Genomic DNA, 12,851 nt, shown 5'->3' with positions numbered 1-12,851 from the left:
CTCCTGCAAGAACTAAGTGTATGTAAGTCCTCTCTTTTGTAATCTAGTTTATTTTTTTCACATGTGAGGATCCCAGATACTATTAGGATGCCTTCATTGCTAATTGGATCTTGGAAAATATACTTTCTTGCTTTACAAAATATATTTCCTTTTAAGCCTCAGAGTAAATTTTGAAATGATCTACCCATGGATTAGTCCTCTGATTTTAACTAGTATCATTATTCTAGCTGTAAAGGACATCTATTCAAACTGTGTACAGGTAAGATTATCCAGGGGGTATAGTTTAGAGCACCCATATAATTTTCAATAGATTATGTGATTTTACAAGAATCTATCAAGTTAATGTTTCAAGAATATTGATAATTACTTTTAGACGTTTTGCTGAAAAAATACAAATAGACAGGGAGTCCATAGTAATAGGGTGGGTCTAAAGTTATGTAGTCTGAGTGAGGACATGGGATGTTAAGTCCAGAGACAGGCCATATGCAGACAGCCAGAACAATGTCTCAAAATCTACAAATGGCTGGGCCTGGATCAGTAATTCTTATGTGAAGGATGCCAGAAATGAGCAACGTAAACCTTAACAGAGTCTGAAAACACATCTCAAGGTAGAGGTTAGAATGAATCCACCTGCCATCCCAGCCTGATACACATGCTAGAATGGGTTATAGAAATGGGCTAACAGGAAAAAAGTCATTGAAATCATGGAAAAGACCGAAATGAAAAATGTGAGATAATATAAAGGTCCATATATGTTATTTATTTCAGTAAAATGCAAATAGACTTGACTTGTGATCAAAAGACAGAGATTGACAAATTGAATGCAAAAATACAAATTCAGATTATACTGTTTACAAGACATATGTCTAAAGCATAAAAGTCATTTCAGAGATTGAGTGTAAAAGACAGAAAGGATATATCATGCAAATACTAATTTTGAAAAATGATATCAATTTATTAATGTAAAAAACAAATTTTAAGGAAAAAAGGCATTGTAGATTTTTCTTCATCTCTTTATTTTGAGCCTGTGTGTCATTGCATGTGAGATGAGTCTCTTGAAGACAGCATACCAATACATCTTGGTTCTTTATCCAGCTTGTCACTCTGTGTCTTTTAATTGGGGTATTTAGCTCATTTACATTTAAGGTTAGTATTGATATGTGTGGATTTGCTCCTGTCATCATGATGTTAGCTGGTTAATTTGCAGACTTGTTTATGTGGTTGCTTTATAGTGTCACTGGTCTGTGTACTTCAGTGTGTTTTTGTAGTGGCTGGTAACAGTCTTTCCTTTTCATATTTAGTGCTTCCTTCAGAAGCTCTTGTAAGGTAGGTTTGGTGGTAATGAATTTGCTCAGCATTTGCCTGTCTGAAAAGGATCTTATTTCTCCTTCAATATGAGGCTTCATTTGGCCAATTATGAAACTCTGAGTTGGAATTTCTTTTCTTTATGAATATTGAATATTGGCCTCCAATCTCTTCTGCTTGTAGGGTTTTAGCTGAGAGGTCTGCTGTTAGTCTGATGGACTTCCCTTTGTAGGTGACCTGATCTTTCTCTCTAGTTGTTTTTATTTTTTATTTTTTAACATTTTTTCTTTCATTTTGACCTTGGGGAAGCTGATAATTGTGTGTCTTGGGGATAAAAGTCTTGTGAAGTATCTTATTGGGGTTCTCTACATTTCCTGAATTTGAATGTTGGCCTCTCTAGCTAGATTGGGGAAGTTCTCATGGATGATATCCTGAACTATGTTTTCCAAGTTGGTTCCATTCTCTCCATCTCTTTCAGGGACACCAATCAGTCATAGATTTGGTCTCTTTACATAACCCCATATTTCTCAGAGGTTTTGTTCATCATTGGGGAAGACAGTGTGGAGATTCTTCAAAGACCTAAAGACAGAAATACCATTCAGCCCAGCAATCTTATTACTGGGTATATACCCAAAGGAATATAAATCTTTCTGTTATAAAGGCACATGCATGTATATGTTCATTGCAGCATATTCACAATAGCAAAGACATGGAATCAACCTAAATGCCCATCAATGATAGACTAGATAAATAAAATGTGGTACATATACACCATGGAATACTATGCAGCCATAAAGAAACAAAATCATGTCCTTTGCAGAGACATGGATGAAGCTGAAAGTCATTATCCCTAGCAAACTAATGGGGGAACAGAAAACCGAATACTGTATGTCCTCACTTATAAATAGGAGCTAAATTATGAGAACACATGAATTCATAAAGGAAAACAACACACACTGGGGCCTATCAGAGGGTGGAGAGTGGGAAGAGGGAGAGGATCAGGAAAAATAACTAATAAGTACTAGGCTTAATAACTGTTTGACAAAATAATCTGTACAACAAACCTCCATGACACAGGTTACCTATGTAACAAAACTGCACATGTACCCCGAACTTAAAATAATAGTTAAGAAAAGAAAACAGGCCGGGCACGGTGGCTCACGCCTGTAATCCCAGCACTTTGGGAGGCCGAGACGGGCGGATCACGAGGTCAGGAGATCGAGACTATCCTGGCTGACACAGTGAAACCCCGTCTCTACTAAAAATACAAAAAATTAGCCGGGCATGGTGGTGCCCGCCTGTAGTCCCAGCTACTCGGGAGGCTGAGGCAGGAGAATGGCGTGAACCCGGGAGGCGGAGCTTGCAGTGAGCCGAGATCGCGCCACTGCGCTCCAGCCTGGGCGACAGAGCGAAACTCCGTCTCAAAAAAAAAAAAAAAAAAAAAAAGAAAACAAACAAACAAAAAGCAAATTAAAAATAAAAGCTATGGTTGAATCAATGATGACATTGAGGAATAAAACAAGCATTAGGATCATGACATTAGCACAAAGCCATTCATGAGGGATCTGCCCCCATGGTCTAAACATCTCCCATTAGGCCCTGCCTCCAACATTGGGGATCAAATTTCAACATGAGATTTGGAGTGGACAAATATCCAAACTGTGGATGGGAATGCATGTGGAAGAAATACTTAATACAATTGCATTTAAAAAGTAGAGAGGGTAAAATATGCTAATGGTACTAGAGATACGGACTGTATCCTTCACTCAAAGTGGTAAAACATCAATACCAGTAGACTGTGATAAGTTATATGTATATATTGTAATAAGTACAACCACCACCAAGAAAGCTATATGAAGCAATGTACTAAAAAGGATTAAAAAGTATGAGTGTAGATACAAAAGTTCTTCCTGAGAACTTCAAATAAGATAGATATGCATATGGTGAGTAGGGCTGAAGTCTTGACTTCTATGCCTGAAAGTAGGCATTATTGGCTGGGAATTTAATTCCTAAGTGGGAAAGAAACCAAAAGTGCTCTATGGAGGAAAGACAGCCAAATTTTGACTTTCTGCTTCTGGCTAGGAGCTGAGGTTGGGCTCCCCATGATTTTAAAGGAGGTTGAGGAGAATGTTTTCAAACACTTGTATGCTATAGATATAAGGAAGTGAGAAGACACAGAATAACTTTCTCAAAAGGAACTGAAGCAAATAAAAAACAACTGTCCTGAGAAGATTGTTATTGTTCCAGATATTACAACAGGACAATAAATCTGAATGATCACTGAAGAACTGGGATTTTGATTGGAAGCCTGATGGGCTGAGGTGGAGTGGCTAAATAAAACCTCTGGACAGGGACAGTGGAGTACAGAAAAGAAGAGGAGGGAGGAGAGTAAAAGAGATGGGCAATGCTATGGTTTGAATGTTTATTTTCTCTGAAACTCATATTGAAACTTAATCCCCATAGTAATAGTATTAAGAGGGCTGTAAATCCAACTATGGTATTTGAGAGGTGGCACCTTTGGGAAGTAATTAGGATTAGATGAGGTCTTGAGGGTGGGGCATTGAGAGGAGAAACAGAGACCTTGAGCCATACCCCTTTGCCCTCTTGTCACATGATGCTCTGCACCTCATCAGAACTCAGCAGAGGGCCCACCAATAAGAAGACTCTCACCAGATGCTGGCACCATGCTCTGGGACTTCTCATCCTCCAGAATCATAAGAGATACATTTTGTTTCTTCATAAATTACCCAATTTTTGGCATTCTGTTACAAGCAACAAGAAACAGACTAAGGCAGAAAATTGGTACTAAAAAGTTGGGCTGTTGCTAATAACAAATATCTGAAAATGTGGAAGCAGCTGTGGAACTGGGTAATGGGTAGAGGTTAAAAGAACTCAAAAAGGCAGGCGAGAAAAAGCCTGTATTGCCTTAAATGTCAATTCTGGTGATAAAGGGTGATTTTGGTGAGGGCTTAGAAGAAGTCAAGAAGACTAGGAAAAGTCTGGAACTCCTTTGTGATGATTTGAGTGGTCAGGACCAGAATGTCAATAGAAATATGGACAGTAAGGGCTGTTCTGCTGAGGTCTCAGGTCTGAGGAACAAGGAATTGGAAACTGGAGTAAAGGCCATCCTTGTAATAAATGGGTGAAAAACTTGGCTCTGAATTGTGTCTATATCTGATGGTTTTATTAGGCTATATGGCAGAAGAAATATCTAAGCAGCAAAGCAGTCAGGCAGCTGCATGGCTACTTTTAACTGCTTACATTAAAGCTGTGAGAGGTAAAAAATAACTTAAAGGTGGAATTTATAATTAAAAGGGAAGCTAAGTGGAAAGATTAGGAAATTTTGCAGCCTGGCCCTGAAAGAGCATTTTCAACAGAGGAAACCAAGGGTGTGTCTGAAGGAATGATTGTTAAGGAGGGACTGATTGATAAGGAGAATTGTATGAATAGAATAAAGCCAGAAGCTATTCATCAAGACAATGGGAGACAAACACTGAATGCACTTTAGAGATCTTCAAGTCTACCCCTGCCATCACAGGCCCAGAGCTCTAGGAGGAAAGAATGGTTTCAGGAGACAGGCCTGGGGTGTCCTCCATGGGCTTGCTGCCCAATGCCACCTCAGGGCAGTGCTTCCCTCATCCTGGTTGCTCCAGCCATAGCTCAAGTGGCCCCAGATGTGACTCATATTGTAGCTGCAGAAGGCACAAGCAGTAAGCCTTGGCAATGTCCACATGCATGTGGTGCTATTTCTGCAGGTCTTCAGAATGCAAGACTAGTGGGAAGGCATAGAAATCTCCACCTAGATTTCAAAGGATGTATCAGACTGCCTGGGAACCCAAGGAGAAAACTGCCACAGGGGCAGGGCCACCACTGTGGGGAAAAGCAAGAGGGATCAGATTGTTACTGTGTCTGTGTAGAAAGAAGTAGACATAGGAGACTCCATTTTGTTCTGCACTAAGAAAAATTCTTCTGCCTTGAGATGCTGTTAATCTATGACCTTACCCCCAACACCGTGCTCTCTGAAACATGTGCTGTGTCGAACTCAGGGTTAAATGGATTAAGGGTTGTGCAAGATGTGCTTTGTTAAACAGATGCTTGAAGGCAGCATGCTCCTTAAGAGTCATCACCACTCCCTAATCTCAAGTACCCAGGGACACAAACACTGCGGAAGGCTGCAGGGACCTCTGCCTAGGAAAGCCAGGTATTGTCCAAGGTTTCTCCCCATGGGATAGTCTGAAATATGGCCTCGTGGGAAGGGAAAGACCTGACTGTCCCCCAGCCCGACACCCGTAAAGGGTCTGTGCTGAGGAGGATTAGTATAAGAGGAAGACATGCCTCTTGCAGTTGAGACAAGAGGAAGGCATCTGTCTCCTGCCCATCCCTGGGCAATGGAATGTCTCGGTATAAAACCCGATTGTACGTTCCATCTACTGAGATAGGGAAAAACCGCCTTAAGACTGGAGGTGAGACATGCAGGCAGCAATACTGCTTTGTAAAGCATTGAGATGTTTATGTGTATGCATATCTAGAGCACAGCACTTGATTCTTTACCTTGTCTATGATGCAAAGACCTTTGTTCACGTGTTTGTCTGCTGACCCTCTCCCCACTATTGTCTTGTGACCCTGACACATCCCCCTCTCTGAGAAACACCCACGAATGATCAATAAATATGAAGGGAACTCAGAAGCCGGCGGGATCCTCCATATGCTGAACGCTGGTCCCCTGGGTCCCCTTATTTCTTTCTCTATACTTTGTCTCTGTGTCTTTTTCTTTTCCAAGTCTCTCGTTCCACCTAACGAGAAACACCCACAGGTGTGGAGGGGCGACCCACCCCTTCAACCACCAAGAGCCTCTGCTAGGGCAATGCTGAGAGGAACTGTGGGGTTGGAACTGCTACAGGGAGTCCTCCCCAGGGAAATATCTAGTGGTGCTGTGACAGTGGGACTGCCACCAAGACTCCAAAACTGTAGAGCTACCAGCATGCAGTCCCAGCTTCGAAAACCCAAGGCACCTGACTCCAACCCATGAGAACAGCCATATATGGGCTGCAACCAGCAAAGCCATGAGGGCAGGGTTGCCTGAGGTCTTGGGGGCCCAACTTCTGCCCCTGTGTGCTCAGGATGAGGAACATGGAGTCAAAAGACATTATTTCCAGCTTTAAAATTTAATGTCTTTCCCTGTTGAGTTTCAGACTTCCTTGAGGCCTGTTACTTCTTTCTTCTGGCCCATTTCTCCTGTCCCAGCATTGTATCTTGGAGGTAGATAATTGGCTTTAGTATCTCAGGCTCACAGATAAGGACTTTGGACTTTTGGACTTTTGAGTTGGTACTAGAGAAAGTTAAGACTTTGGGGCTCTGGAGATAAAATGAATGTATTTGAATGTGAGAAGAATATGAGTTTTGAGGCTGCAGGGGTGAAATGCTATGGTTTGAAAGTTTGCTCCTCTAAATCTTATGTAGAAACTTAATCCCTATTGTAACAGTATAAAAGGGTAAGAAAACAGACCATGATATTTTAGGGGTGGGAGATGTGAGAAGTAATTAGTATTAGATGAGGTCATGAGGATGGGGTGATGGGGCACTAAGGGTTTGATAAGAGGAGAAAGAGATACTTGAGGTAGCCCTCTCAGCCTGCTTGCTATGTGATGCCTTGCACCACAATGGGACTCTGCAGAGGGTCCCCACTAGCAAGGAGGCTCTCACCAGATGCTGGCACCATGCTCTTGGACTTCCCAGCCTCCAGAAATAAATTTTGATTCTTTATAAATTACCCAGTTTCAGGTATTCTATTGCAATCATCAGGAAATTAATTAACACAGCAAAATCGACATCTAGAATACAAAATAATCCCAGCACTTTGGGAGGCCGAGGCAGGCGGATTACCTGAGTTCAGGAGTTTGAGACCAGCCTGGCCAACATGGGGAAACCCTGTCTCTACTAAAAATACAAAAATTAGCCGGGTGTGGTGGTACATGCCTGTAATCCCAGCTACTCAGGAGGCTGAGGCAGGAGAATCGCTTCAACCCAGGAGATGGAAGTTGCAGAGTGAGCCAAGATTGTGCCACTGCACTCCAGCCTGGGCAATGGAGTAAGACTCTGTCTCAAAAAAAATAATAATAATATACAGTAATTGGAGATGAAATTAATTTAAGTGTTCTGGTATATACTATGTAAGTATATGAAGTATAAATAAGTAGAGTGCAGATGACACCAATAACAATGACTTCATTGCTATTCTGTCTCAGTGAAGAAGGGGTCCTGTAGGTATGATTAATTATTCTCTTAGGTGTGTCTTCTCAATGCCAGCAAAGCTAGGTGTGGGTGAAAAAAATACCACCTAGTCTTTTTTGTTAAGTGACTATAAATATCATCAGATCCCTGTGCTTCCCTGTCTCTATCCCCAGGGATTCAATGACATTTATACACTTGGTTCCCAGGTGAGATTTTAATTAATAAACTAATCTCATGACTGTTAGCAATTATAATTAGATATTCTGTCAAGTTCCTAATTCTCACATCTTCAAGTCCTGTAATTTGGTATGAAGGCACTGCGAATTTGGACTTTGAGCTAACAAGATTTAGACAGGATATTGGCCTTGATCTGAGGCTGTAATGGAATGAGACTTTGGGGGGCCCTTGAGAAGGGATTAATGTATTTTACATTTGAGAGGGACATGAATTACAGGTGGCCAGAGGGCTGAAGAGGTGAGAAGGAAAGCAGAATTCTAAGATGGCCCCCAGGAATATCTATCACCCCCTGTTGTACATACCTTATAAAATTATTTTCCTTTAAATGTGGGTGGAACCTACCGAGACCAGCTTCGTCAGGGAGACCCTAACCCAGCAGCGCTAGAGGAATTAAAGACACACACACAGAAATGTAGAGGTGTGAAGTGGGAAATCAGGGATCTCACAGCCTTCAGAGCTGAGAGCCCTGAACAGAGATTTACTCACATATTTATTAATAGCAAACCAGTCATTAGCATTGTTTCTATAGATATTAAATTAACTAAAAGTATTCCTATGGGAAACGAAGGGATGGGCTGAATTAATTGCAGCAGGAACATGCTCTTAAGACATAGATTGCTCATGCTTTTGTTTGTGGCTTAAGAATGCCTTTAAGTGGTTTTCTGCCTTGGGCAGGCCAGGTGTTCCTTGCCCTCATTCCCGTAAACCCACAACCTTCCAGCTTGGGCGTTAAGGCCATTATGGACATGTTACAGTGCTGCAGAGATTTTATTTATGGCCAGTTTATGGCCATAAACTGGGCCATAAATTTGGGGCCAGTTTATGGCCAGATTTTGGGGGGCTTGCTCCCAATAGTAACCAGTAAATTTAATGGTATGATCACTACTGTGATTGGGTTATGTTTTGACTGCAATTAGCCTTATGAAAAGGAAATTATTGTAGGTGAGCATGAACTAATTAGGTGAGCCCTTGAAAGGGACTGAACTTTTCTTGAAGAGGGAGATTAAACATGAGAAAGACTCTGTATTACTGACTTTGAAGATGTAGAGGGCCATGTGGCAAGGAACTGAGAGTGGTCACTGGGAGCTGATACTGATCCCTGGCTGATAGCCAGCTTGAAAACATGGACCTCAGTCATACGTGGAAATAAATTCTGTCAACAGGCAGTGAGCTTGGAAGAGGACTCCATATTCAAATGAGAATTATAAGGTCAGCTTGTGACTTCAGTCTTGTGAGATCCTAAGCAGAGAGCCCAGTTGAGCTTTGCCTAGACTTCTGACCTAGAAAACTGAGATAATAAATGGGTGTTGTTTTAAGCTGCAAAGTTTCTACTAATTTGTTATGACAGTGGCTAGAAAATTAATACAATATGCTTTGTTTATTTAAATTTTACATACTGCACCATAAGCACCTTTGACATAAACAGAATGCTTAAAATTGATATACCTTTCACATATTAATTCTTTACTTTTTCTTAGTATAGTCTAAGAATACTTTCCTGTACGGTTTCTTTCTTTGTTTTGTTATTTAAACTCATCTCACCACTTTTTAATAAAATAAATATTTACTTTTTTTTTCTATATTTTTGTTGATGGCTTTCATGAAACTTCGGTTCTTGTCTTCTTAGTTTAAAAGAATTTAAACAACAGACACACAGCAAAGGAGATACAACATAGAGCAATTTCTTGCAAAGGAGAAAGGATACTCTGAAAGTTAGGTGCAGAATCAACAGTACACCCCAAGAGACAATTCAGGGCAGGTTGCTTGTGCGGGTGAGACAGTGTTGAATGTTACTGGGGAAACTCCCTTTATGGGAGTCTTACATGATTATTCATAAGGGGGTGGGAAGATGTGTTACTAGCAAGCATGTTCTGGGTGGTTCCTCCTCAGTTCTGAGTTCCTTCTCATTTAAACTTTTAATCTGCCTCAGTATAATCTCTGTATGTGTGTATGTATGGGCTCTTTTTACTATCCCACTAACTCACTAATTGACCCAACACTATTTTTAGTAATTTTTCCTATTCCACTGGATTAAAAGTTTGCTTTATTATGCACTACATTCTTAATTTATCCAACATAAATGCAGGATAACTTGTTCTATCCTTGAAAGCAGTCCCAGTTTGATGTTCTTTAGAGAGGCCAGAGCAAATTTCCCCATACTCCATTTCAAATACTTCAAATTATATTGCAACCTCTTGAAAAATATCAAATTAGGATTGTATTTCTAACACCAAGAAAAATGATTTAAAATTCTTTTAAAATAGCTTCTTGTCCTAAAAATCTCACCATAATTTCCTCATCACTATGCTGCTTTCTCTTTCATTCCATATTGGTGTCATGACAATCAAGTATATTTCAAAAAACTTGTTTCCGGACCCCTTACATCCCACTGAGTTCCATTCCTCATTAGCTACAGCCCATTACCCTACAAATTTGGATAGACTCCAGAAGAGTAGAGTGGGCCCTTATGTACTTTGAAGAAGTGAAGAATATAACCTGTAACATTGAAGGCTTCTTAGAAATATGTTTGTCTCCCATCCCAAAATTTTCTCAAAGGGTTTGCGACTTCCTAGAAATGTAATACAGTGGTCCTCCCTTATCGATGGTTTCACTTTCCACAGTTTCAGTTACTGGTGGTCAATCAATCACAGTGTGAAAATATAGGTGTTTAGTACAATAAGATATTTTGAGAAGAGGGGAGAGAGAAAGAGACAGAGAAAGAGAGAGAGAGATCTCATTTACATAACTTTTATTACAGTATATTGTTATAATTGTTCTATTTTATTATTAGTTATTGTTGTTAACCTATGACTGCACAATTTGTAAATTAAACTATATCATATGTTTGTATGTGTAGAAAAACATAGCATATACAGAGTTTGGTACATGCCTTCAGGCATCCTTTGGGGTGCCTTGCAACATATCTCCCATGGATAAGAGGGGGCTATTGTAAACAAAATTTTCAATTTCATTAATTGTGGCATAAATTAGGTTCTGTTTATGTGCAGCCAATATCATTCCACAGTTGTCCTTTTTTTGGGGCACTATGAACATGTTTTAATTGTTTAGCTTTATAATCATTTGTAAACATCTATTAGAGTACCTCTCCTTATTTTTATCAATAGTTGTTTTTGTATACCGCTCTTGAAAGTTAGAAACATTTTGTTAATAAAACTGTCTTATTACTATTTAGATTAAAGCATCACCAAATCCATGTATTTTGTCTGGAAAAGTGACACAAATTGCCCTGTCCAAGAAAGTGGTATCATTGTTTACTAAACTTCTTTCTGTCCTTAAGTAAATTTCTATTCTTTTCTGTGGATTGCACACATGACTGCTTTGATATTTTGTATATTTATTGCTCTTTTCAATAATTTTTTTTCTGGAATGGATTCATTGACCTAATCTGCCAGAGAGAATTAATGAGGCCCCACATCTTCTCATTAGTTGGAGAAGAAAGTATTTAATGGTTTAACTTGAACGTGACTTTTGTGAATCTTTTTTTTTTTTTTTTTTAAAGCAGAATCCTGTATTTGGTTACATTCTGGTCTAGTGACCACTTCCTTCAGGTAAAGCAAGCTTCCCTGTCTGGAACAGCCAGGCATGTGATAAAAAATTTCCTTTGTGGTCACTTAGTTATTATTCCTCTTGTCTTGAGTGTCTGGGCTGCTATTTTCATGTATTTACATCCAAATGAAGTCTTTCTTTCCAACTTTTTATAGTATGTTTTGATTCACAAAATATTTTAGCCTTATCTACAATATAATAATTTCTCACAAATGCAAAGAATATAGGTTTGTACAGTTTTGAAGTAATATTGGCAAAAGAGTATGAAGCAGAGTGCCCATATTTAAATATAACTTTCAACATGTTAGTCTTTCTATAGGTGTTTTCAGGATAATAAAAATTAATTTGATTGATATAGACTTGGGGGCAATATATGAGAAACAGGCTCTGCTCTAAAGGATAGGATGAGAGGTGGGCAGGGAGGATTTGTATGGTTTGAATTCCAGGCACACACGCTAACTGCTAATTTGGCATCATCCACCAGGTTGAATATTTTCATGAAATTCTGTCTTACATCTCTGCTAATCCTAAAACAAAGAATGAGGATCATTTCAGGTGAGTCTAAGTCAGGAGAAACTATTAAAATTGTTATATTCTTCATTTAATTTTTTTCTATGATTATTTTTTCTTCTTTTTATACTAATTAGAATAGGCCAAACTGCTGCAACAAATAGACTAAAATGTGTATTGTGGCTGAAATATAGTAGAAGTTTATAACTCACTAATGTAGCAGAAGGAGGATATTGAAGATTTGTGAGTCACTTTTCTCCAGGTGGTGATTCAGAATTCCAAGCTCCCATAGTCCAATATGGTGCCTTTCATTTTTTTTCCTGAGAAAATTAACACATTTTAATTTTTCCTCAAGAAGGGAGGTACAAGAGTGATCAATTGTGATCTAGAAGATTAAGGCAAGAAAGTTAGTGAAATTTGCTACAGTGTCTACTATTATAGTTGTCATTATGACTGTAACTAATATTTGTTTCCCTCCTTCACAAGCCATTCTTGATTCCCCTCATCCTCTGAATTTAGTCTAGTTTGTTTTTCTGTTTTGGTGACAGAGACAACTATTCCAGAAGGGTCTATGTTACTATTTACTCTGTTCTTGAATTATGATTGTTTTAGTGTCTACTGACAGACATGACCATGCATAGAAGCACTAAAAGACTATTGTATTTTCATCTGGGATAGTAGTCTCTGTCACTAAACCAGAAGAACAACCTAGTTTTTAGACCTGTTCAAGCTTGGTTCCAAAGGAACCACTTCTGCTGCAGATGGATTGTGGTTGGTATCCCCAAACTTACGACTCCATGGATTTATAGCTCTTCGCATCATATGGACAATTTAAGGCACATGGTCAGTGTGCTAAGTGCCTATCAGGAAGAAATGAACACTTGGTCATAGTTTTAGAACTATGAAAGGAAATTAAATCTTGGGACTCCAACTCATTAAGCCTAAGGGAAAAGTTAATCTGGGAACGGGGTTGCGAAAACCCGCCTCCCCCTTTTTGGTTC

General features: G+C 39.4%; 17 annotated features.

Annotated features, from left to right (window-relative positions):
- Positions 166 to 310: an enhancer, noted in NCBI's record as "145 bp 6:32751751 sequence used in MPRA reporter constructs". NCBI's record gives its function as "activates a minimal TATA-containing promoter with rs28986366 allelic activity by MPRAs in UACC903 melanoma cells {active_cell/tissue: UACC903}" and the evidence as "EXISTENCE:reporter gene assay evidence [ECO:0000049][PMID:36423637]".
- Position 238: a transcriptional cis regulatory region, noted in NCBI's record as "rs28986366 or 6:32751751 MPRA-significant variant associated with a GWAS melanoma risk locus at 6p21.32". NCBI's record gives its function as "allelic transcriptional activity by MPRAs in UACC903 melanoma cells {active_cell/tissue: UACC903}" and the evidence as "EXISTENCE:reporter gene assay evidence [ECO:0000049][PMID:36423637]".
- Positions 1,571 to 1,715: an enhancer, noted in NCBI's record as "145 bp 6:32750346 sequence used in MPRA reporter constructs". NCBI's record gives its function as "activates a minimal TATA-containing promoter with rs28893549 allelic activity by MPRAs in C283T melanocytes {active_cell/tissue: C283T}" and the evidence as "EXISTENCE:reporter gene assay evidence [ECO:0000049][PMID:36423637]".
- Position 1,643: a transcriptional cis regulatory region, noted in NCBI's record as "rs28893549 or 6:32750346 MPRA-significant variant associated with a GWAS melanoma risk locus at 6p21.32". NCBI's record gives its function as "allelic transcriptional activity by MPRAs in C283T melanocytes {active_cell/tissue: C283T}" and the evidence as "EXISTENCE:reporter gene assay evidence [ECO:0000049][PMID:36423637]".
- Positions 2,081 to 2,225: an enhancer, noted in NCBI's record as "145 bp 6:32749836 sequence used in MPRA reporter constructs". NCBI's record gives its function as "activates a minimal TATA-containing promoter with rs28893541 allelic activity by MPRAs in C283T melanocytes {active_cell/tissue: C283T}" and the evidence as "EXISTENCE:reporter gene assay evidence [ECO:0000049][PMID:36423637]".
- Position 2,153: a transcriptional cis regulatory region, noted in NCBI's record as "rs28893541 or 6:32749836 MPRA-significant variant associated with a GWAS melanoma risk locus at 6p21.32". NCBI's record gives its function as "allelic transcriptional activity by MPRAs in C283T melanocytes {active_cell/tissue: C283T}" and the evidence as "EXISTENCE:reporter gene assay evidence [ECO:0000049][PMID:36423637]".
- Positions 3,780 to 3,924: an enhancer, noted in NCBI's record as "145 bp 6:32748137 sequence used in MPRA reporter constructs". NCBI's record gives its function as "activates a minimal TATA-containing promoter with rs28986335 allelic activity by MPRAs in C283T melanocytes and UACC903 melanoma cells {active_cell/tissue: C283T | UACC903}" and the evidence as "EXISTENCE:reporter gene assay evidence [ECO:0000049][PMID:36423637]".
- Position 3,852: a transcriptional cis regulatory region, noted in NCBI's record as "rs28986335 or 6:32748137 MPRA-significant variant associated with a GWAS melanoma risk locus at 6p21.32". NCBI's record gives its function as "allelic transcriptional activity by MPRAs in C283T melanocytes and UACC903 melanoma cells {active_cell/tissue: C283T | UACC903}" and the evidence as "EXISTENCE:reporter gene assay evidence [ECO:0000049][PMID:36423637]".
- Positions 3,896 to 4,040: an enhancer, noted in NCBI's record as "145 bp 6:32748021 sequence used in MPRA reporter constructs". NCBI's record gives its function as "activates a minimal TATA-containing promoter with rs28986334 allelic activity by MPRAs in C283T melanocytes {active_cell/tissue: C283T}" and the evidence as "EXISTENCE:reporter gene assay evidence [ECO:0000049][PMID:36423637]".
- Position 3,968: a transcriptional cis regulatory region, noted in NCBI's record as "rs28986334 or 6:32748021 MPRA-significant variant associated with a GWAS melanoma risk locus at 6p21.32". NCBI's record gives its function as "allelic transcriptional activity by MPRAs in C283T melanocytes {active_cell/tissue: C283T}" and the evidence as "EXISTENCE:reporter gene assay evidence [ECO:0000049][PMID:36423637]".
- Positions 4,131 to 4,275: an enhancer, noted in NCBI's record as "145 bp 6:32747786 sequence used in MPRA reporter constructs". NCBI's record gives its function as "activates a minimal TATA-containing promoter with rs28893531 allelic activity by MPRAs in C283T melanocytes {active_cell/tissue: C283T}" and the evidence as "EXISTENCE:reporter gene assay evidence [ECO:0000049][PMID:36423637]".
- Positions 4,131 to 4,334: a biological region, named in NCBI's record as "melanoma risk locus-associated MPRA allelic enhancers 6:32747727 and 6:32747786".
- Positions 4,190 to 4,334: an enhancer, noted in NCBI's record as "145 bp 6:32747727 sequence used in MPRA reporter constructs". NCBI's record gives its function as "activates a minimal TATA-containing promoter with rs28986333 allelic activity by MPRAs in C283T melanocytes {active_cell/tissue: C283T}" and the evidence as "EXISTENCE:reporter gene assay evidence [ECO:0000049][PMID:36423637]".
- Position 4,203: a transcriptional cis regulatory region, noted in NCBI's record as "rs28893531 or 6:32747786 MPRA-significant variant associated with a GWAS melanoma risk locus at 6p21.32". NCBI's record gives its function as "allelic transcriptional activity by MPRAs in C283T melanocytes {active_cell/tissue: C283T}" and the evidence as "EXISTENCE:reporter gene assay evidence [ECO:0000049][PMID:36423637]".
- Position 4,262: a transcriptional cis regulatory region, noted in NCBI's record as "rs28986333 or 6:32747727 MPRA-significant variant associated with a GWAS melanoma risk locus at 6p21.32". NCBI's record gives its function as "allelic transcriptional activity by MPRAs in C283T melanocytes {active_cell/tissue: C283T}" and the evidence as "EXISTENCE:reporter gene assay evidence [ECO:0000049][PMID:36423637]".
- Positions 5,523 to 5,667: an enhancer, noted in NCBI's record as "145 bp 6:32746394 sequence used in MPRA reporter constructs". NCBI's record gives its function as "activates a minimal TATA-containing promoter with rs201402353 allelic activity by MPRAs in C283T melanocytes {active_cell/tissue: C283T}" and the evidence as "EXISTENCE:reporter gene assay evidence [ECO:0000049][PMID:36423637]".
- Position 5,595: a transcriptional cis regulatory region, noted in NCBI's record as "rs201402353 or 6:32746394 MPRA-significant variant associated with a GWAS melanoma risk locus at 6p21.32". NCBI's record gives its function as "allelic transcriptional activity by MPRAs in C283T melanocytes {active_cell/tissue: C283T}" and the evidence as "EXISTENCE:reporter gene assay evidence [ECO:0000049][PMID:36423637]".

The sequence above is a fragment of the Homo sapiens genome, chromosome 6 (assembly GCF_000001405.40).
Source record: "Homo sapiens chromosome 6, GRCh38.p14 Primary Assembly".
Classification (NCBI taxonomy): domain Eukaryota; kingdom Metazoa; phylum Chordata; class Mammalia; order Primates; family Hominidae; genus Homo; species Homo sapiens.
This window is presented reverse-complemented; position numbering and strand designations above follow the sequence as displayed.